Genomic DNA, 24387 nt, shown 5'->3' with positions numbered 1-24387 from the left:
GGTGTTTGGATTTTTGTCCTTGTGATAGTTTGCTGAGAATGATGGTTTCCAGCTTCATCCATGTCCCTACAAAGGACATGGACTCATCCTTTTTTATGGCTGCATAGTATTCCATGGTGTATATGTGCCACATTTTCTTAATCCAGTCTATCATTGATGGACATTTGGGTTGGTTCCAAGTCTTTGCTCTTGTGAATAGTGCCACAATAAACATATGTGTGCATGTGTCTTTATAGCAGCATGATTTATAATCCTTTGGGTATATACCTAGTAATGGGATGGCTGGGTCAAATGGTATTTCTAGTTCTAGATCCCTGAGGAATCGCCACACTGTCTTCCACAATGGTTGAACTAGTTTACAGTCCCACCAACTGGGTAATAGTGTTCCTATTTCTCCACATCCTCTCCAGCAGCTGTTGTTTCCTGACTTTTTAATGATCGCCATTCTAACTGGTGTGAGATGGTATCTCATTGTGGTTTTGATTTGCATTTCTCTGATGGCCAGTGATGATGAGCATTTTTTCATGTGTCTTTTGGCTGCATAAATGTCTTCTTTTGAGAAGTGTCTGGCCATACTGACCAAGGTAATTTATAGATGCAGTGCCATCCCCTCAAGCTACCAATGACTTTCTTCACAGAATTGGACTACTTTAAAGTTCATATGAAACCAAAAAAGGGCCCGCATTGCCAAGACAATCCTAAGCCAAAAGAACAAAGCTGGAGGCATCATGCTACCTGACTTCAAACTATACTACAAGGCTATAGTAACCAAAACAGCATGGTACTGGTACCAAAACAGAGATATAGACCAGTGGAACAGAACAGAACCCTCAGAAATAATACCACACATCTACAACCATCTGTTCTTTGACAAACCTGACAAAAATAAGCAATGGGGAAAGGATTCCCTATTTAATAAATGATGCTGGGAAAACTGGCTAGCCATATGTAGGAAGCTGAAACTGGATCCCTTCCTTACACCTTATACAAAAAATAATTCAAGATGGATTAAAGACTTAAGACCTAAAACCATAAAAACCCTAGAAGAAAACCTAGGCAATACCATTCAGGACATAGGCATGGGCAAGGACTTCATGTCCAAAACACCAAAAGCAATGGCAACAAAGCCAAAATAGACAAATGGGATCTATTTAAAGAGCTTCTGCACAGCAAAAGAAACTACCATCAGAGTGAACAGGCAACCTACAGAATGGGAGGAAATTTTTGCAATCTGCTCATCTGACAAAGGGCTAATATCCAGAATCTACAAAGAACTCAAATTTACAAGAAAAAAACAACCCCATCAAAAAGTGGGCAAAGGATATGAACAGACACTTCTGTTTTAGAACTTTAAAATTGTTGTTCTGTTATTATTTGGCTTGCAAAGTTTGTGACCTGAATTGGTGGTTTTCCTTATCTTTTGTCCTTTACAGCCAACGACGGGGAAAAAAAAAAGGATATAAAGATTTTTCTTTAACAGTGATTTTCAGCATTTTGATTATGAGTCTGCCTTTCTTTCTGTTTGAGATCTGGGTTTAGTTTACCTTCTTAGATCTGTGAGATTATAACTTTTATCAAACTTAGAAAAGGTTAGCAATTATATAGTGCTTCATTTTTTTCTCTTTTTCTTCTCTCCTTAACCTTTTAATTTCTGAGCCTATAATGTTTCTATGCTATTGGTTAAGGTGTTGCTGATTTCTAAGGCACTGTTCCTTTTCTTTCTTCCTTTTGTTTTTTTGTGTGTGAGTGTTAGATGTTGATCTTACTCTTATGCTAAATCATTTTGGGATTTATCTTTTTTCGGGGCTTGCTGTTCATCACAAGTTTATTTTGTGGTCATCTTGCATACTTTGTTGGTATGATCTCTTCTTTTTTTCTCCTTGTCAGTTTATGTCTGTAAATTTTTTTTTTTCTTGAGTCTCGCACTGTTGCCCAGGCTGGAGTGCAGTGGCGTAATCTCGGCTCAGTGCAACCTCCGCCTTTGGGGTCAAGCAATTTTTCTGCCTCAGCCTCCCAAGTAGCTGCGACTACAGGCGCACTCCACCACGCCTGGCTAATTGTTGTATTTTTAGTAGAAACAGGGTTTCATCATATTGGCCAGGCTGGTCTCGAGCTCCTGACCTCATGATCGGCCCACCTCGGCCTCCCAAAGTGCTGGGATTACAGGCGTGAGCCACCACACCCGTCCTACGTCTGTAAAATTTTTAAAATTTATTTTATTGGAGTTGTAAAGGGGAAAAATGACGTGTGTTTTCAGTATTCAATTATAAATCAAGAGTTTTTTGAGATTTCATTTTGTCTTGAAATGCTATTTTTTTTAAAAGGTAGAAATTCTATTTAGAACTGATAAAGAATAAGCAGTTATTATGTTAAAAAGATCTTCTCAAAAGTAGTAAAAGATAGAAAGCAGCTCAATGTATTATAAAATCCAGTTCAGCCATAATAGTCAACATTAATGTGTTGTCATTGTCCATCCAGCGTGCTATATAAAACTACCATAAATGGGGTAGCTTATAAACAAAAGAAATTTATTTCTCATGGTCTGGAACCTGGGAATTCCAAGATCAAGGTGCCAGCAGATTCAGTGTCAAGTGACAGCTTTCTCATAGATAGTGCTTTATTGCTGTGTCTTCATTTGGTAGAAGGCTCAAGCAAGCTCCTTTGAGCCTCTTTTGTAGAGACACCACTCCCATTGATGGAGGACTCTGCCTGATATCTAATAACCTCCAAAAGGTCCCACCTCCAAATATCATCACCTTGGTAATTAGGATTCGACATACAGATTTGGGGAACACTTATATTCAAACCATAACACTTGTCATTAACACATAGAATATTGGCCTATCTCATATCAAATACAGGCCAGTATGCTAAATAAATTGCTAGTCATTGCAGTTCTCTTTTGGAACAAAGTTATGCATGCTTTATTAGAGTAGCAATTAATCATGACTGAGAGTGTTTTAATATTGCAAATATCAATCATTACATTTAATTGTCTCATCAAGTTAGACATTTAATAAAAATCTACCAAAATATTGCCAGGCGTGGTAGCTCATGCCTGTAATCCCAAGGCTTTGAGGCCAAGGCAGGCGGATCATTTGCGGTCAGGAGGTCGAGACCAGCCTGGCCAACATGACGAAACCCTGTCTCTACTAAAAATACAAAAATTAGCTGGGCCTGGTGGTGTGCACCCGTAATCCCAGCTACTTGGAAGGCTGAGGCATGAGAATCGCTTAAGCCCAGGAGGTGGAGGTGTTAGTGAGCCGAGATCATGCCATTGCACTCCAGCCTGGGCGACAGAGCGAGACTCCTCAAAACAAAACAAAACAAAAAAACTACCAAAGTATTAATGGCTCACACTGTAATCCCAGCACTTTGGGAGGCCGAGGCGGGCAGATCACGAGGTCAGGAGATAACACCATCCTGGCTAACATGGTGAAACCCCATCTCTACTAAAAATACAAAAAATGAGCCAGGCGTGGTGGCAGGCGCCTGTAGTCCCAGCTACTTGGGAGGCTGAGGCAGGAGAATGGCGTGAACCCAGGAGGCGGAGCTTGCAGTGAGCTGAGATTGTGCCACTGCACTCCAGCGTGGGCGACAGAGCGAGACTCTGTCTCAAAAAAAAAAAAAGTTTAATACAGAATTTCTGTCCATCCAGTAGCCAAAGCTTTTCCTAATGAATACGCTGCTTCATAAGCATTTACTTTTCTTCTGGTTTTGTATAATACAAAATGATTTGAATAAAGTAAAATACACTATAAAATGGTATCGCTATTAGATTATTCAGTTATAATTTGTGAGCAACATGATGAATAGGACACTAAATCAAGTATATAATAGCAATTTTAAGATGTTACGATATTCTGGCTGGGCCGTGGTGGCTCATGGCTGTAATCCCAGCACTTTGGGGGGCCGAGGCAGGCGGATCACCGGAGGTCAAGAGTTCAAGACCAGCCTGGCCAACATGGAGAAACCCGTCTCTACTAAAAATACAAAAATTAGTTAAGTGTGATGGTGCACGCCTGTAGTCCCAGCTATTCAGGAGGCCGAGACTGGAGAATTGCTTGAACCCAGGAGGCGGAGGTTGCAGTGAGCTGAGATTGAGCCACTGCACTCCAGCCTGGGTGACAGAGTGACACTCCGTCTCAAAAAAAAAAACTTACAATAATATGAGGTCTTTGTAAAATGTGAGAATAAAACTTTTGGAGATAAGCGAACATCTGAGTAAATTGAAATAGCATGTCTCTGTACAGAATATTGTAAAGATGTTAGGTAAATTTATTTTTTAAAATGTTCTATCAGTAATTCCAATGTAATTTTTGTTTAAAATTTGATGAAATTACTGTGAAGTTATCTGTATGAATAAACTAAGCAATATTATAAGTTCTGGGAGGTCAGTAAATTGGCACTTTATGAAAAAAGAAAAAACAAAAAAGTCCTGGGAGAAAAATTCAAAAGGATAATAGAAAGTTGAACTTCCGTACTAGCTGTATAAACATTAAACCATAATTTGATTTTGGTATGGGAATTGTTAGTTAAATGATATAGAATGGATACTGAAAATTAGTCATATATGACTTGTTCAGTTTGGGGAAAGAAAAACCCCTTTTTCTAATATTTAGGATATGTTTAAAATGTTGTATCTGTGTTAACAATGGTAGGAAAATTTAGAAGAAAATAGGATTGAACGTTTGTCAAACCATTTTGAGGGCCAAGATTGAGGGCTAGAAATAATGAGAAAGGGAAAGAATCATAGATTTAGCTACACAATGATTAGCAATTTACTTATAAAAAAATTGTGCTTAAGGCAAATTGCCAATATGACTCGTCTTGGAAGAAAAACATATTCCTTCTGTGTTTGAAATATTTTTCCACAAACCTTTTTTATTATGTGAAGGGAAAGGTAATTTTAAAATGTTATGTGTCATTATGAAAAGCGATAGCCTTACCCCACTCATTTTTCTTGAAAGTAATTGTTTAGTGTCTGTTCAGTGGAGTTTTTCTATATTGAATGAAGTTTAGCAATATTTTTAAAGTTTAAATTATTCATCAGACATTTAATTTTGCTTAATTTTCCTGCTCTAATCATTTTTTTTCCCGAAAAAGTTGTACATTATACAATACTTAATTTGAATGTCTTCTCCATTTTAGTGCCTGGCATGCATGTGTGAATAAAACACCTCTGCCCTTGTGGAACTGGGAATTTGTCAGTCTTCCTTTCCTTTTCCCTTTCCTTTTTTTCTTTCTTTCTTTCTTTCCTTTTTCCTTTCCTTCCCTCTCTTTTTTCTCCTCACCCTCCCATCCCTTCCCAGATAACAAATATGAGGTGTTAACAAGTGCTTTAAAGAAAGATAAAGGAGAGTAAAGGGTTAATGGTGAAGTGAAGCTTTTAGATTGGGCGGTAAGGAAAAAGCTCCCATTGGATGAGAGACTTGAAAGAGGTGAGAAAATAAGTATCTTGAATTCCTGGAGAGAAATCTTAGTCCTTGAGTTGGTAATATACTTGTTATTTTCAAGAAAGGGCAAGGAGGCCAGTTGGCTGAACATAGTGTGAGATAGGGAAGATGGTGGGAAATGAAGTTGAAGGTGTAGGCAGCTAAAAGGACTTAATGCATTCTAGAAATAACTATCCTCAATCTACTGAGTTTTCTGTCTTTACCTTAGATTACATTTAAACTTAACATACAGTGTGTTTAATTGCTACAACTACATATTCTTATCAGCAAGTAAGTTAATTCTTAAAAACAAATTCATTTCCATGTTTTGCTGTTTTTAAGGAGGCCTCATGGGACCTGTCAGGATGATTTCATCTGGACACGAGTTAACAACAGATTATGATGAAAAAGCACTTCATGAGCTTGGTTTTAAGGATATGCAGGTACATATATAAAACGTGGTTTGAGTTTTAATGATCTGTTTATAATCATCAGTTGAATAGTCGCAGATGTAGTTTAAAAACAGCTCTTATTGCTTTGTTATATTAAAATTTTAAGTGATTCTATACTTCAGATTTACCGTTTTATTAAACTAAAAGCTTGATATGCATAAATTTTTTTTCCTGTTTTTTATAGATGGTATTTGTATCTTTGGGTGCACCAAGGAGAGAGCGGAAAGGGGAAGGTGTTCAGCTGCCAGCATCTTGCCTCCCACCCCCTCAGAAGGACAACATTCCAATGCTTTTGCTTTTACAAGAGCCTCATTTAACTACTCTTTTTGATTTATTAGAGATGCTTGCATCATTTAAACCACCCTCAGGAAAAGTGGCAGTGGATGATAGTGAGGTGACTATGTTTCATTTTCACAAATCTTGTTTTGTGTCTCTGTTGAGAGGATATAGTAACTTTAATAAAAGTATAGTTTATAAAACGTTATAAAGTATATAATAATTTTCTCTCCTTTTTTTTTTTTGTTCATTTTTTTTTTGTTTTCTTTTTTTGAGACGGCATCTCACTCTGTTGACCAGGCTGGAGTGCAGTGGTGCAATCTCATCTCACTGCAAGCTCCACCTCCCGGGTTCATGCCATTCTCCTGCCTCAGCCTCCCAAGTAGCTGGGATTACCGGCGTGTGCAACCACACCTGGCTAATTTTTGCATTTCTAGTAGAGATGGGGTTTCACTGTGTTGGTCAGGCTGGTCTTGAACTCCTGACCTCATGATCCACCCATGTCAGCCTCCCAAAGTGCTGGGATTACAGGCATGAGCCACCGTGCCTGGCCCTCAGTAATCTTTTAAGAGTAGTAAAATTGGGCCGGGGCGGTGGCTCACGCCTGTGATCCCAGCACTTTGGGAGGCTGAGATGGGCAGATCACGAGGTCAGGAGTTCAAGAGCAGCCTGACCAACATGGTGAAACCCCGTCTCTACTAAAAATACAAAAATTAGCTGGGCATGGTGCCGTGTGCTAGCTAGAAAGGAGAATGGGGAAGAGGATGGGAGAGTAGAATGGGAGGAATGAAATTGGAAAGGTAGGCAGAGCGAAATAATGTAAACCTTTTGCGTCATCGTGAGTCATTTCCATTTTACTCAAAGTGGACAACATTAAAAGATTTTAAACAGAGGATAAACACATGTTCTGATTTTTGTTTTATACCTAATAAGTTTCTTTGGAGAAAGTAACAAAGTCAGTAAAGCATTTGATATACGAGTCCAGGAACAAGTTGCCCTGAAATAGGATGGCAGCAGTGGAAATAAATCGACAACAGGTCAAAACAACATCACTTGGTGGTGGTTTGGGTTTTAGGAGTAGGGAATGAAGAGGAGAAGGAAGACAGAAATGGCACTGGGTTTCTGGCCTGTGCAACTGGGTGGATTCCATTTGAGCTGAAGGATAGATAGATGCCTGAGGAACATCAAATAGAGATGTCAGGTAATCACTTGGATATATAAGTATGGAGCTCAGAGGAAAAGGTATAGTCTAGAAAAATGGTTTGTGGGTTATCACTATAAAGATGCCATTTATTTTATTATTATTTTTATTTTTGTGAGACATGGTCTCAGTGTGTCACCCAGGCTGCAGTGCAGTGGTATGATCGTAGCTCAGTTGTAGCCTTGATCTCTCAGGTTCAAGTGATCCTGCTGCCTCAGCGTCCTGAATAGGTGGAACTCCAGGTGCATGCCAATGTGCCTGGCTAATTTTTTAATATTTTGTAGACATGGTCTCTCTATGTTGCCCAGGTTGGTTTCAAACTCCTGGCTTCAAGCGATCCTCCCACCTCAGCCTCCTAAAGTGCTGGGATCGTAGGCATAAGCTGCTGTGCCCAGCCTGAAGATGGCATTCAGAGGCAAGAGTATGTGTGATATCACCTAAAGGAGCCATATTCAATCCACTAACTTTTAAAACAATGCCTTTAAATGGGCTTATTCTAAGACCTTTTCATGTATTCATGTAGCTTATGCAGTGAATCACAATTTTGAGATTGAGAGGCAGGTAAAATGGTGGTATTTTGATAGTTTTCCCTGTGTTAGGCTAGTATGCTTTTCTTTCTTCCCCAAGATTGTTAAGTGACTTCTTCCCGTTTCCATGATGTGTTTGATAATGGATGCAGTGGGCTGCCATTGAGCCTTCTGTTTCTTATACCTCAGTTTCTCACGTGATGGTACATTCTTAAATTCCCAAGAAATACCCATTGTTTTTTCAAGCAGAATAATCATTAATAGGTGCCCATGAAACCTCTGTTTTCTCACCTAGTGCTGGTGTTCTGTTCCATGTATTAGGGGAATAATGTGAGGAGGGGGACAAAAATTTGCAGAAGGTTTTTTCAAAAGAGGAGTTGTTCAAATTGGGTCCAGCTACTGTTAAGAGTGAAGAGAAAAGCATTACAGATTTTCCTCAATAAGAAAGCAAATGCCATGTTTGAGGACCTGGGAATACTAGCATAGTGTAATTTAAATACTAGGACAGAAAGGTAGACTGTAACTTGTATCGCAAAAGGACCTAAATGATTTTTTTTTTTTAATCCATCATTATGGCTGGTTTTAAGCAGCAAAATGAGCTCTTTTCTGGGCTTTTAGAAACAAAATTTAGATGTTTGTGTGGAGGATGTAGTAGAGAAAACCAGGACCAGTGATAAGAGATCCTGGGCTGTTATGTTAATAGGCTGTTACGTTAGTCTGAGTAGTGAGACTTAAACCAAAGGGAAAGCATTTCATTGTTTCAGCAGATTTTTTTTTTTTTTTTTTTTTTTTTTTTTTTTTTTGAGACAGAGTCTCACTCTGTCCTCCAGGCTGGAGTGCAGTGACAAGTTATCGGCTCACTGCAACCTCCGCCTCCCAGGTTCAAGTCATTCTCCTGCCTCAGCCTCCTGAGTAGCTGGGACTACAGGCGCACGCCACCACGCCCAGCTAGTTTTTTTTTTTTTTTTTTTTTTTTGTATTTTTGTAGAGACAGGGTTTCACTCTGTTAGCCAGCATGGTCTTGATCTCCTGACCTTGTGATCCGCCCACCTCTGCCTCCCAAAGTGCTAGGATTACAGGTGGGAGCCACTGCACCCAGCTGCAGATATTTTATTGAATCTTATTTTTGGCAGGTTGATAACAGGGATTTTTTGCTGAATAAGATAGGTTTGGCCCTGATGAGAGTTACACAAAAAAGTAAAAATAAAGTATCTTTACTGTGTATGTCTCATGAGACTTTCAGTCATTGCAGAACATACTTATGCACACTTTGAAGATATTTTTCCTTCTAATCCTTTTTTGCATAGAATTCAATATTTCTCTTTTTAATGGTTATTTACAACGGAATGATGAGTTGTTTTATTGAAGAACTGAGTGCCATTTCCTCAAGTATAGCGCAAGTGTTACTCGAGGGTTGCTTCTCTTTGTTCATCAAGCTTGTGAAAGACCAAATTTACCTTGAAACTTTCTAAGATTTCCTTGACATTGGAGAATTGCTTGAACCCGGGAGGCGGAGGTTGCAGTGAGCTGAGATCGTGCCATTGCACTCCAGCCTGGGCTACAAGAGCGAAACTCCATCTCAAAAAAAAAATAAAGATTTTCTTGCCACCAAAGTGCACCATGTTTCTGCCATTATACCAAAAGAACTAAGTTTCTTTTTATAGGCTTATAGAATATCCCTAGACCATGTTATACCAAAGAATCACTGTGATAGTAGCAGTAGTAATAAATTTATACTCCGTGGAAAATACCAAAACTGTCAATTTTAGTTTTTACTCTTTTTACCTCTCAGGGTGGTACTTTAAATTTTTGTTTAATTGCCTATTTCCTAAGTGGTTTTTGAAACGTTGTTTAGCTTACTCTTGCCTTAGCAAGTTTTGGAACTTAGCAAGATTTAACAAATGATAATGGAAAAAAATAGGTCTCTAAAATTGTTTGCTTTCTTCTTAACGTCTGTTCATCTGAGACTGGAAAATGAGGTTTAGATTAGCAACATAAGAGAAACAGGCTCTTTTCCTAAATGGAAGTTCAAGGATTTAATTCACCCAGTCTTTATTGTGCTTAGAATAGTGACCTGCAAAATGGAAATAGATGATTGTCATATTGAAATTTGTTAGAATTTTCTGGCCTTTAAACAGATGTTTTCACTTTTATTTGAAAAGTTTCATGAGGAACATGATCAGTCTTAGAGGAAAGCTTTTCTAGAAAAATGTTCAGTAAGAAGTTGAAAAAACACTGCTTGGCTATTAATTTTCTCAAATATGTATCATATAACAAATGTTTCATTTCTCACTTTTCAAAAAGTGAGGCTAAAAACTATTAGCAAATTTGATCATTACTTTATGCAAAAATTTGAACTTAAAACTTTTTCTTTTCTGATCTGTTTTGATAAAGTAGTTGTTCTTATTTGTGTAGAGCTTACGATGTGAAGAACTTCATCTTCATGCAGAAAATCTGTCTAGGCGGGTCTGGGAGCTACTGATGCTTCTTCCTACATGTCCTAATATGTTGATGGCATTCCAGAATATCTCAGATGAGCAGGTGAGCCCACAAAATCTCTTTACTCTCCTAGAGGCTGTTACCAGTTTACATTCCTATTGACAGTGTAGAAGATTGCCTGTTGATGTACCCTCAGTAAATCTGAATATAGTTTTTACCCATATAGTAGGTAAAAAGTGCCACTGCATTTTAATGTTCATTTGTTTATTTAGTGAGGGTGAATAATGGGTGAATAATGTATCAGAGGCTAAATGTAAGATGAAGATGTTTTCTAAAATTATTGACATTTTATATTAGTGTTTTTTCATATTACAGTATGCTTTTAATATTGTTTTTTGTTCTTAGTAACAAAAAGTAATGTTTAGAGAAAATACACAGAGGTGAAATGATGTGCATCAGTGTTTGTTTTGTGTGCTTATACAAATTAACTGACCAAATTGGAGAAAATGAGGCAAATAAATTTAATATCTGTGTGATAATTTTTTTTCCATATGGACACCACCTCACATGTGTGTTGGGTATCTTTGTAAAGTCTTTAACATTAAAGACTGTTTTAATTTATTTATTTATTTATTTATTTTTGAGATAAGGTATAACTCTGTTACCCAGGCTGGAGTACAGTGGTGTGGTCTCAGCTCACTGCAACCACAACCACGAGGGCTCAAGTGATCCTTCCTCCCCCAACCTTCCCCAGTAGCTGAGACCATAGGCGTGTGCACCATGCCTGGCTCATTTTTGTATTTTTAGTAGAGACAGGGTTTCACCGTTTTGGCCAAGTTGATCTATAACTCCTGACTTCAAATGATCTGCCCATCTCAGCCTCCCAAAATGCTGGGATTATAGGCATGAGCCACTGCTCCTGGCTTAAAGATTGTTTTTAAAATTTGTATAATAAGTAGTTTATTTGAGGACATCTCCGAAAGAACTCTACAGGATGAATGAAAAAATAAATGTCCTAATGTTATACTAATTCTAGGATTTGGAACATTATCATGTGATTTTGGGAGAGCCAATATCTCACAAGACTTGGAAGTGAAGAAGATGGGCTCTTCAAAATGCCAAATGATGACTTACAGTAGCACTAGTAATAGCATTTCAAAGATGCACATTAAGTGTGAATTACATTATTTCATGAATTGACAGTAGAAAACAGCAGTGTTCCTGAGTTCATATATTTGTATGACTTTTAAATATATAGTTGTAACTATTAAGTACAGACATTTAATTCATCACCATCTTTAGAAGTTTACCCACTCAACTAGATCACAATGTTGTTTCTTCTTTTAATTGGGAAGATTAACAGTTAATTATTTTCCCATGCTGCTGTTTGTATATGAATTTTATTGGGTTTATTTTCAGAAAATTTAATGCATAATTGATGTTTTAAGCATACCATTTGTGCCAGTTATATACCTAGTCTTCATATGTTTTAATATGTTTCAAAGTATATATAATATTTTGAGTTTTTATGTAGTGTCAGTTTGTTTAAAGTTTTTCTTTTTTGTGTTCCCTGAGTAAGTTGGCTTGAGAAACATGTTTTTCTAATTTAAGAGTAATGATGGATTTAATTGGAAAGAACTTCTCAAAATTAAGAGCGCCCACAAGCTATTGTATGCTCTGGAAATTATTGAAGCACTGGGAAAACCTAATAGAAGAATAAGGAGGGAGTCTACGGTAATTGCATTTCCATTATTATCATTAAATGTTTGTATTCTCTCTGGAGCAAAATTCTATAATGTATTGTCTTTTCCATTCTATAATAATTCTTTCTTCCGCCATTCTGCCTTACTTTTTTTGCCTTTCTCATAGGGAAGTTACAGTGATCTTTATCCAGATTCAGATGATTCAAGTGAAGATCAAGTGGAAAATAGTAAAAATTCCTGGAGTTGCAAGGTTTGATCATATGTGTTTTTCAATGTATTGATAAAAATAATTTATCTTCAGTTTTTCAAAAGTGGGTACCATAATTCTTCATTGATTTTAAACTAATATACTATTAAAATAAAGCATAGTTTAAAAATCATGTATTACTTTAAGTTGCAATAACGTAAACTGAGATTATTTAATGCCTTGGTGCTCCTGCTTTTAGCTCTGATTTTCCCTCTATTGAAATACTGTGAGAGTCCTGGCATGGTGGCTCACGCCTGTGATCCAGCCCTTTGGGAGGCTGAGACGGATGGATCACTTGAGGTCAGGAGTTTGAGATCAGCCTGGCCAACATGGTAAAACCCGTGTCTCTACTAAAAATGCAAAAATGAGCTGGGTGTGGTAGCATGCTGCCCATAATCCCAGCTACCCAGGTGGCTGAGGCAGGAGAATCACTTGAACCCAGGAGGTGGAGGTTGCAGTGAGCTGAGATCGCACCACAGCACTCCAGCCTGGGCAGCAAAAAAAAGATACTGTGAGGACATCCCAGTGTCTAGGACTAAATGGCTAATGGAATAGAAAGATGTTTATAGGCTTTTTCGTGTGTGTGTGTATAAATTTTTTTTTTTTGAAATGGAGTCTCGCTCTGTCACCCAGGCTGGATTGCAGCAGCGCGATCTCTGCTTGCTGCAAGCTCCGCCTCCCAGGTTCACGCGATTCTCCTGCCTCAGCCTCTGGAGTAGCTGGTACTACAGGCGCCCGCCACCACACCCGGCTAATTTTTTTGTATTTTTAATAGAGACGGGGTTTCACCATGTTAGCCAGGATGGTCTTGATCTGCTGACCTCGTGATCCACCCGCCTCGGCCTCCCAAAGTGCTGGGATTACAGGCGTGAGCCACCGCGCCTGGCCTCAAGTGTATATTTTTTTAAATTCTTGTTTGTTTTATTTTGTTTTGTTTAGGACAGGGTCTCACCTTGTCACCCAGGCTGGATTGCAGTGGCATGATCATGGCTGACTGCAGCCTTGACCTCCTGGGTTCGAGTGATCCTCCTGCCTCAGCCTCCCTAGTAGCTGAAACTATAGGCACCAGCCACCATACCCGGCCAATTTTTTTATTTTTTGTAGAGATGAGGTCTTCCTATGTTGTCTAGGCTGGTCTCAAAGTCCTAACCTCAAGCCATCGTCTGGCTTTGGCCTCCCAAAGTTCTAGGATTACAGGCATGAACCATTGCACCCACCCTTAAATTCTTGAAAGTAGCCTTTATCTTATTATTTTGTCTAGAAATTATTTTGGTAATTTAAATGAATAGTAGTGTAAATAAAAGATACGTAATATTTTACATATCCAGTTACTGAATCAACAAGCATTATTGCATTATATATCTGCTTTTCTCTTACTATTACTTTCACAATTGCCTACAGTTTGTTGCTGCTGGAGGGCTTCAACAGTTATTAGAAATTTTTAATTCTGGAATTCTAGAGCCTAAAGAGCAGGAATCATGGACTGTGGTAAGTGCATATTTATGGTTTCAACTAGTTACAGTAGTTATCCCATTTGAAATACTTCCATTTCATCAGCAAGTATAGCTTTTGCCATATAGTTCCTTATAATAAAGTATGGAATATAGCAGAAATGAATTTAAAAATACAGTTTGATAAACTAATTAGGAATAAGTGTTTTTCATGTTATCAGTATTAAAAAATTCTTCTGATAAAATTAATTACTCTAAACTCTGGCCAGTTCATAAACATGTTTCCTTTAGGTTGATAAATTATATATTAATATTTATATAAAGTTTGGTTGCTTTTTAAAAATTTGGTTTACATCTTAGTTTTTTCAAAAAACTTTTTTTGTTTTATTTTGTTGTGATCATTTCTTCCTTTATAGTAGTAATAATTAAAAACGTGTTTCCAGACCATGTTGACTGGCTTACATTGAGATGGATATAGAAATTGAGAGTAAGCCTCTAGAAATTTTTATAGCAATTAGACATTGTTGCTGTATTTTATAATACTTTACAAAAGTATTGGTCCTCAACAAAATGGAATTTTTTTTTCTGTGAACTTGCATAAAAAAATGGAAATTTTAAAAAATGTTAACTTTACCACCGTGATTTGAAGAAGTACTATATGAAAATAAAATTGCTTATAGAATATTTAAATCTTAATAATGATATACAAAACTGCCCAGGCCAGTTTCAAGCTCATTGTAAAGGACATTCCATTTTCTTCCATCAAAGCAGTTTAGCATTATCAAACATTGAATTCAAGTATTTTCTTAGTTCCTGTGGTTTTTTGTTTTGTTTTGTTTTGCTTTTTTTGAATTGCCTTTGAACCTAGGAGTCAGGTATAATGATTTGACATCAAGTAATCTTATGTCTAAATTTGTTAGCTCATCAGCTATCGTCAGTGTTAGTGTATTTTACATGTGGGCCAAGACAGTTGTTCTTCCAGTGTGGCCAGGGAAGCCAAAAGATTGGACACCCCCGTACTAAAGGTTTTCTCTGTTTGTTTTTCTTGAAATTATGAATACTTTCCTGAAGTATTACTAGTAACATTTTATTGCCAATATGTGGCTTATTGTAGCTTTATAATGCCCAAGATGCAAAGCATGTCTAAGATAGAAATTGCTTTCAGGTCAACTGGTATTTCCTGTTTATAGTGCATCTCTCTTAATATTATGAAATACTTCTAAGTTCAGGATTGTTCTTGTTTCTTATTTTTTTTTTCCTTTTCAAATGAGTTTAGTTGAAGTATACCTTTAAAACTTTTTTTGAAATATAGTTAACATGCAATCAATGTACTCCTCCAAAATGTACTGTTTTTACTATATTCACAAAGTTGTGGGACTATGACCAGCATCTAATTCCAGAACAGTTGTATCCCTTCAAAAGAAACCTCCCCCTAAACGCTTTAGCCCTAGGCAACCATCATTATAGTCTCCTTTCTGTTTCTGTGGATTTGCCCATTCTGGACATTTCCTATAAATGGAACCATACAATATATGGTCCATCGTGACTGGTTTCTTTCACTTAGCCTATTTTCGAGATTCATCCTTGGAAGTAGCAAGTATCAATAATTCATTTTTTTATAATTATATTACATGTTTATCCATTCACCAATTGAGAAGCATTTGGGTTATTTCTACACTGTGACTGTTGTGAGCATTTGTTTATGAGTTTATGCATAGATAATACATTTTCACTTCTTTTTGGCATATGCTTAGGAGTGGTATACCTTGCCAATACTTAAGTGGTATTTTATTGTGATTTCTAGCATTTACATTTTCCCAATGCTAAGAATCTTGAGCAGCTTTTCATGTGTCTGTTGACCATTCATAAGCATGTATGCATGTATGTGTGTGTGTACACATATATATGCACACACAAACACATTCATTCATAAATCTTTGGTGAAATGTTTGTTCAGTCACAGCTGAATCCAGGGAGTGGAAGATTGATCAGTCGGTGAACATCTGCATCGTTTCCAGTTTGGGGCTATTATCAATAATGTTGTTATAAACAGTTGTGCCTTGGGTATAGAGTGCAGTTTCTGGGTCCTGTGGTAACTTCTAACTTTTTGAGGAATTTCCAAACAGTTTACCAAAGCTGCAACATTTTACATTTCTACCAGCAATGTGTGAGGGTTCCAGTTTCTCCACATCCTTTCCAAGACTTGTTAGTGTCTCTTTTATTTTAGCTATCCTAGTGTGTAAAGTGGTACCTAGTTGTGGTTTTGATTTGCATTTCCTTGGTGACTAATGAGGTTGAACATCTTTCCATGTGCTTATTGGCCACTTGTTTATCTTTGGAGTAATGTCAATTCACATCCATTGCCCACTTTTAATTGGGTTGTCTTTTTGTTGATTTGTTAGAATTCCTTATGTATTTCAGATACTGATTCCTTACAGTGCATGTGATTTACAAATATTTTCTCCCGTTCTATGGGTTGCCTTTTTCCCTTTCTTGAGAGCACCCTGTGATTTACAAAAATTTGTAATTTTGATGAAGTCTAGTGTCTCTGTTTTCCTTTGTGCTTGTCCTTTTGATGTTGTATCTACAAAACCGTTACCTAATCCCCTTACACAGAGATTGATGACTATGTTTTCTGTTAAGAGGTTTCTGGTTTTAGCTCTCACTTTTTTAGGTCTTTGGTCCATTTTAAGTTAATTTTTGCATATGATGTGAGGTTGCAGTATACTTTTCATGTAATAAATAATGCACTCATTTTAAAGAGTGAGTTTTGAAAAATGTTTATGTAACGCTCTAACATCCAAACAAAGAATATTTCCATTACTTAAGAAGTTCCGTCCTGCAGTTTTGCTATTAATTTTTCTTCCTCCACTTTGTGTTACAATAGATGAGATTTTCATTTTATAAAATTTCATGTAATTGGATCAGTGCAATATGTACCATTTTGTATCTGGCTTCTTTTATTCAGAATGCTTTTTGAGGTTGTTAAATGTTTTTCATCGCTGAGTAATATATTCGTTGTATAGGTATACCACGGTTCATTTATCTGCTCACCTATTGACATTTGAGTGGCTTACAGTTTTGGGTTGTTAAAATAAAGTTTCTGTAAACATTCACATACAGGTCATTTGGTATATGTATGTTTTTATCTCTTGGATTAATACCAAGTGATGAAATTGCTAAATAATATGGTAAGTGTAAGATTAACCTTATAAGAAGATGCCAAACTGTTTTTCAGAACAGTTATACTATGCAACATACGAGAATTTCATTTACTCCACATCCTTGCCAGAAGTTGATATGAACAGGGTTTTAAAATTTGAGCTATTCTAATGGGTATAGTAGTGTTAGCTCACGGTGGCTTCACTTGTCCTTCCTTCATTGCTAATGATGTTTAGCATTATGTTGTGTGTTTGTTGATTGTGTGTTTATCTTCTTTTGTGAAATGTCTTAGTATATAGTTGTGAGATGGTCTTTTCCCTTAAATATTATGGAGAAGTCTTTCTCTGATGTGTGTATGGGGACAAGCCCCCCACACATGCTGTGGCTTACTTTTTCATTATACTGACAGCATCTTTTAGGGGAGAGGTTTTAATTTTAATGAAATTTGTATCCAGTCTACAAATATTTGTACCAAGGTCACAAAGACTTTTCTCCTCTGCTTTCTGTAAGTTTTATAGTCTTTTCTTTTACGTTTAGATCTGTAACAATACATTTTGAGTTTTGTGTATGCAATATTGAATTTTTTTCCTTCTTCATACGGCTATTTGGTTTTTATAGCACCAATTTGTTGAAAAGACTTTTTTTCTCTCTGAATTATCTTGCTGTCTTTCTTTCGGTTCAGTAATATAGTATAGGTATTATTGCAGGAAGAAAGTACCATTTCTTTCTGGTATGTTTGTGTAGGAATATATTTGGCAGTGGAATCAGGAGAGCAGGAGGTTAAGAACTTTTGAAGAAAAAGCTGTGAAACTCTCATCTTGTACATAAGTGATATTCTAATTAAAGAAAGTGAACTGTTATTAAAATTGAGCTTCCAGTCAGCTGTAAATTTTATTTTTTATACATACTAAACAATATTTAAAACAACTTTTTAAATAAAATAAATTTATTTTTAATGTGGTTATGGAAAGTGCAAGAGTTTCAGTTGAATTATTTTCTAGAATTACTAGCAATTGCTTTGGTCCGTAAGTATTAAGAGTTTGTGCCACTCGTTGGGAGACACAGCATATAATACTTTGTTTCTCAGTTAATTTTATTGATAAGTAATATCCTTGTCATCTTAATTTTTTAAAAAATTATAAATTATGAGCAGTATGTTTTTTCAAAAATCTCATAGCTATTACATATATTTTTATATTGCCTTCATTAAAGAAATGAAAGTGTCATTTCCATTTCATTAAATACATCTTGTATACCCTCTTTATTTCTAGATACTTTTTCTTCATTTTTATAAGATTGAATTGGTACTGACCATAATATTTGAGCAGCAGAATTTTTATAGTACATGATTAAGTACTAGCTATAATTATTTTTATTTTCTGGTCTTTTAATTTCAAAATTGTATTGTGGCCATTCTAAATTAATGAAAATAGGGAATTGACTATTTCTTCTCATTTACAGTGGCAGCTAGACTGTCTTGCTTGCTTGCTGAAGTTAATATGCCAGTTTGCAGTAGATCCATCCGATTTGGATTTAGCTTATCATGATGTCTTTGCCTGGTCTGGTATAGCGGAAAGCCATAGGAAAAGAACCTGGCCTGGCAAATCAAGGAAGGCTGCTGGTGATCATGCTAAGGGTCTTCATATACCACGATTAACAGAGGTAAAGTGCAGAAATTAATGTTTAATGATGAATTCCATTTATTTTTATAAACTGAAGAAATATGCTAATGCTTAAGAAATGTATTCTAGATTACTGTGACTTAACCTGACAGCTGAACTGACGGCATTGTTTTAAAGCAGTAGTGATTATGAAGCAGTATTGCTTTTCATTTCATCATCCAGAATGCAGAAATGAGTCGTGCCATTTTAATATCTGTGAGACTGAATTTATTATTTGAACTCAGTAATTTATATACTTTGGGGATGCATTTATGAAAACAGAAGCCATAGTTGGTATTTCAACATAGGAAATTTAAAATAGAGAATCAGTTTTACACGTATGTGTTACAAGGCTTTAAAAACAAAAGGGAGTGGTGAGGTAAGCCAGATAAGGAGCCATTTATCACCCCTAGATCTTGTGGAACATTAGGGAAGTGGTTGGGTTATCAGGAACTTAGAAGCTTGCAGGAGGGATCCTGTTAAACCGGGGTTTAGGCCTCTGAGAAAGCAGTTACGCTCTTATGCTCATCTGCTATAAGATTATCAGAGGGGACCTGATAAAGCTGGTGCTAGGAGTGCCTAAAAAAGCTGAAGGCTGAAACAAACTCTGTCTTCTAGGTAAATACTTTTAGATAAATGCTGACAGAAGAAAGAAAGGAGGAGTCTCTCAAGTATCCTAGACTGGCAGAACCTAATAGGAAGCCACCTGGCAAAGGAGGAATTTGGTTTTTGATATATTTGCCCTAGCATAATAGAACAAGTGTATAAAAGGGTGGATTTGGAGATGAAAGAAAATATGGTTGGCCCTTGAAAAATAGAGGAGTTAAGGATGCTGACCCTCCATACAGTCAAAAATCTGTATATAACTTTTGACTCCCCTAGAACTTAACTACTGATAGCCTGCTATTAACCAGAAGCCTTACCAATAACAAACAGTTGGTGAATGCATATTTTGTATGTTAATACTATTATATACTGTATTCTTAAAGTAAGCTAGAGAAAAGAAAGTGTTAAGAAAATCATAAGAGAAAATATATTTACTGTTCTTCAAGTGGAAATGGGTCATCATAAAGGTCTTCATCCTCATGGTCTTCACATTGATCAGGAAGTAGAAGAGGAGGAGGAAGGTGAGGGGTTGGCCTTGCTGCCTTAGGAGTGCCAGAGTTGGGAGAAAACCCAGATACAAGTGGATCTGTGCAGTTCAGACCTGTGTTGTTCAAGGGTCAACTGTATTAACCAGGACATCGAGCAATAAAAATAGAATCTTTTTGATTGTGGATTCTGTAATCAAATATTTGCCTTTCCAACATCTCCGTCAGTGAGTCGGGAGGTAGGGAGTGATCAAGGTGAGATTTTAGGGAGATCTCATTTTGTAACCTTTTGAGAACCTCACCTCGTGTCTACCCAAGAAACATCAAAGTAATGAATTGTTACTGATAGATTGTGACGGACATAAGGTTAGAAAGTACTGGTATAAATGGAAACCTGAAGCAGATTTCCTTTTTGGAATTTTGGGGGTTAAATGGGAAAAATGATCTCTGTCAGTATTCCAAATCATTTACATCTAATAAAACGAAATATATGCAGAGTACAATATAATCTGAATGTATTCTGCAATGTACTGTGTTGTGAACTACCACTTTAGTAACCTTACATTACTATAATGTTTTGGTCATGTTTTTTTCAGAATAAACTTTCCAGGTTATAATAATGCTCTAATTGTGATCCTTTCCATCACTCACTAAATAATTCCAATGTTTATTGACCTTTATTGGCAATTTCCTTTTGAGATTTTAATAATATAAATATACATAAGTGTATGTGTAAAATACGCACGTTTATGGAGGTTTATAGGTTATTGGTTTGTGTTTAAAAATAATATGCAACTACAAGCTTATTGAAAATTCATAATACACAAGCGAACTTTTTCCCTAGTCATAGGTGACTACTCTTAATATCTTTTCGTGTTATCTTTTCAGAGATTTTTTTCTATGCACATGCCAGTGGTTTGGGGTTTTTTTTTGAGACGGAGCCTAGCTCTGTTGCCCAAGCTGAAGTGCACTGGCGCCATCTCGGCTCACTGCAACCTCTGCCTCCCGTGTTCAAGCGGTTTTACTACCTCAGCCTCCAGGTAGCTGGGATTACAGGCACACGCCACCATGCGTGGCTAATTTTTGTATTTTTCATAGAGACGGGGTTTTGCCATCTTGGACAGGCTGATCTCAAACTCCTGACCTCAAGTGATCCTCCTGCCTCGGCCTCCCAAAGTGCTGGGATTATAGGTGTGAGCCACCGCTCTGGGCCAATGTTATTTTTTTTTAATTTTAGAAAAGGTGTATATTATATAGTTTTTGCATGAGTTTATTTCCCAAAATAATTCCAGCTTAGTATGTATATCTCAGATCTATGGAAATAAAAATTTCTGTTGCGTTAATACTGAAGACAGAGTCATCTAATGTTGATATACTGTAGGTAGTAAGGAAGAACACTAACTTATTTAAGAGTTTACCATCATTTTTCCGTGTGATCTTTTTAATAGCATTTTAAAAAGTTACTTGCAAAATTTAGCCTAAACATCAATTTTTCTGGAAGTTTTCTCACTTCTGCCAGGGACAGGTTTAGTTCCTGCTCCCTTCTTTTGCTTATTTGCACATTGTATATACTTGTGTTAACCATGTTTTCTGTGGCTGCCTGCCCCAGTGCAGAAACAGTGCCTTAGGAAGTATGTGCACAGAATGCCTTCCAACCTGCAGAATAAATTTAATAATTCATTGTTAGTGAATTATTTTCTCCCCTTATATGAGGAAGAACTAGAACTGAGGAATTCCAAATATATTAGGATCATGTAGCCTGAAGCTGAATGTTGAACCTCAGGATTTTGAATCTAGAATCCATGCTCTCTACCCGTGGTATATTATATTGCTTTTTAATTCTTATTTCAGGATGGTTGAGGAATCTATTACTACTTGATGTTTTTTTAAATATATTTTCTTCAAAAGTAAAAACATGTTTAATTATTCACCAACCCCTTCCCAAGAAACCACTGACATGTATATATTTCTTTCCCCCAGTTCAGTGGTATGCAGAGAATCTATGAATCGAATGTAAAGACTATTTTTGCCCCTATTTCTAAATTCTTAGTAATTTCTTTTCTTTTTCTTTTCTTTTCTTACTTTTTTTTTTTTTTTTTTGAGACAGATTCTCATTTTGTTGTTCAGGCTGGAGTGCAGTGGCACAATCTCAGCTCACTGCAGCCACTGCCTCCCAGACTCAGGTGTTCCTCCCTTCTCAGCCTCCAAAGTAGATGGGACTGTAGACATGCACCACACACCCAGCTAATTTTTGTATTTTTAGTGGAAACAGAGTTTTACCACATTGGCCAGCTAGTGTCGGATTTCTGGGCTCAAGCAATCCACCCACCTGAGCCTCCCTAATTGCTGGGATTACAGCAATTACAGTGAGCCACCATACCCAGCCTACAGTTGCTGCTCTTAAGTGTGATTATAAAATTCTGGTTTTCCGATTCTTGGCATTTTTACAGTATTTTCAAAGAATTCTTACGACATTCTTTATTGTGTTATAGATAAATATCAAAATAATTTGGAATTTTGGGTTAAAATTTTGTAATACACATCTCTTTAGTAACTAAATCTTGAGTGCTTTTTGAGGGTTTTCCTTTTGCTGTATTTAAATATCTTTTAAAATGTTTTTGTTTTAAAGGTATTTCTTGTTCTTGTCCAAGGAACCAGTTTGATTCAGCGACTTATGTCTGTTGCTTATACGTATGATAATCTGGCTCCTAGGTATGCATTTTAAGATATATTTTATGTGTGTATGTATAGCAGGAATATAATGTTTTAAAACTTTATTTTGAAAAATTCTAAACTTAATAGAAAAATTTGGGGGATATTATGATGAAATCTCTCATACCTTCCATCCAAATTTACGTATTATTAACCTGTTGCTAAAATGTGTCTTGTATTTATGAGTCACGTATTTTCTGTGTGTTTACATGTTTTCCTGAATCTTCTGAGACTGAATTGCAGATATCATGACTGTTCACCAGTACTTTGTTGTGTATCTCCTAAGACCAAGGAGATTTTCTTAATAGCTAGAGTAAAATTTTTAAATTTATAGAATTTAACATTGATATGTTATCTAACATATAGTTCATATTAAAATAATCCTATTGGTATTCTTTATAGCAGTATTTTTCTTGCTTCAGGATCAACTAAATGTATTGCATTTAGTTGTCAGTTCTTCTGTTTCTTTTCATCAGAGATAACTTTCTCAGCCTTTCTCTCATGATACATTTTCAAGTAATGCAGGCCAGTTATTTTATAGAGTACTTTTCAGTTTGAGTTTTCATGATTAGCCTTCATGATTAGATTCAGATTATGTATTTTTTAAAGGAGTCTTAAAGTTTAGACTCTAAATCATTATAACCTATGTGTTTGTCACACACATCTCTTTAGTAACTAAATCATGAGCACTTCTTGAGGGTTTACTTATTTCAGTCAATGTTTTATTCATTCAAATTTTGTTTATTAAATCTGAAGTCATTTCGTATTTGCTGTAATAAGATTTTACCAGTGATTCTTTTATTTGGTTTGTTTTTTATTTTGAAACATACAATATATTTTTATTGACTAGACACCCTGCTGTGTAATAGATTTCAAAACTTCCTGCTCTATCTGGAACTTCATACCCTTTGACTTATACCCTCTGCCCCACCCCACCCTACCCTACCCCACCCTCCAGCCTCTGGTAACCATTATTCTACTCTCTTCTTCAATGAGTTTGACTCTTCTTCAGTGAGTCTTTAAATAAATGATAAAGAATATAAAACAAATAAATAATGGAGCTCTCTTAAAATATAGTCTCTTTTGCAAAAATTAGCTGAGTGTGGTGGCACATGCTTGTAGTCCCAGCTATTGGGAGGCTGAGGTGGGAGGGTTGCTTGAGCCTGGAAGGTCAAGGCTGCAGTGAGCCATGATCATGCCACTGCACTCCAGCCTGGGCAACAGAGTGAGACCCTGTCTCCTGTCTTTTAAAACACACACACACTCACACTCTCTCTCACTCTCACTCTCACTCTCACTCACACACCCACTGCTTTCCTTTTTTGGGGGGGAAGTGATAACCTTAAAGGATATATGTTAATAAATTGAATTATTTTTAATTCATTGCTGAATTTAATTGGTGGTGGTGGTGTTTTTACTTTACAGAGTTTTAAAAGCTCAGTCTGATCACAGGTCTAGACATGAAGGTAAGGGTTCCACAAAGTTAACTTTTAATAAATAAAAACTTGAATAATATATTGATATATTTTACCTTTAATATTGAACATTGTGTTTTCATTTTAGCACAAACCTTTTATAGTGAACTGTTTTCTAATTTTTCTTTAGTTTCACATTATTCAATGTGGCTCTTGGTGAGTTGGGCTCATTGCTGTTCTTTAGTGAAATCTAGCCTTGCTGATAGCGATCATTTACAAGATTGGCTAAAGAAATTGACTCTCCTTATTCCTGAGGTAAGATAAAGATTGAAGGTTAGTACTGTTATTTTTTGTATGTTTTCATGTTATTAGCATTGATAATAAAAGAGCTAATGGAAACAAATATGCGTGAGTCCATAAATATATCACATTATCTGCTTAATCCTTTAAGGTCTAGAGTGTTTTGAACTATGTACAATGTTTAAGAACTTCTGACTATTATATATTATGTAGCATTTATATTTTTCTGAAATGTTTATAGAATGATTATTTTGCTTTGGATTAATAAAAAAAAGTTTTTCCAGGTAGTAGGAAGGGCTTGAGAATTTATTTTGG

The 24387-nt window shown here is 36.3% G+C and overlaps 1 protein-coding gene across 1 annotated transcript in view; it reads left to right on the top strand.

Moving 5' to 3' along the window:
• Window positions 1–24387, top strand: part of USP34 (ubiquitin specific peptidase 34) — a 283625-nt gene that overhangs the window by 163856 nt on the left and 95382 nt on the right. Inside the window, exons 28-37 of the mRNA NM_014709.4 lie at window positions 5778–5878; window positions 6072–6281; window positions 10307–10432; window positions 11942–12064; window positions 12200–12283; window positions 13682–13768; window positions 18355–18555; window positions 22275–22357; window positions 23783–23823; window positions 23963–24087. Of these exons, the coding sequence (NP_055524.3) occupies window positions 5778–5878; window positions 6072–6281; window positions 10307–10432; window positions 11942–12064; window positions 12200–12283; window positions 13682–13768; window positions 18355–18555; window positions 22275–22357; window positions 23783–23823; window positions 23963–24087 (1181 nt within the window). The remainder of the gene's footprint in view (window positions 1–5777; window positions 5879–6071; window positions 6282–10306; window positions 10433–11941; window positions 12065–12199; window positions 12284–13681; window positions 13769–18354; window positions 18556–22274; window positions 22358–23782; window positions 23824–23962; window positions 24088–24387) is intronic.

This window comes from Homo sapiens, chromosome 2 (assembly GCF_000001405.40).
Source record: "Homo sapiens chromosome 2, GRCh38.p14 Primary Assembly".
NCBI classification, from domain to species: domain Eukaryota; kingdom Metazoa; phylum Chordata; class Mammalia; order Primates; family Hominidae; genus Homo; species Homo sapiens.
The sequence above is the reverse complement of the archived record's forward strand: the minus strand, read 5'-3'. Positions and strand labels throughout refer to the sequence as shown.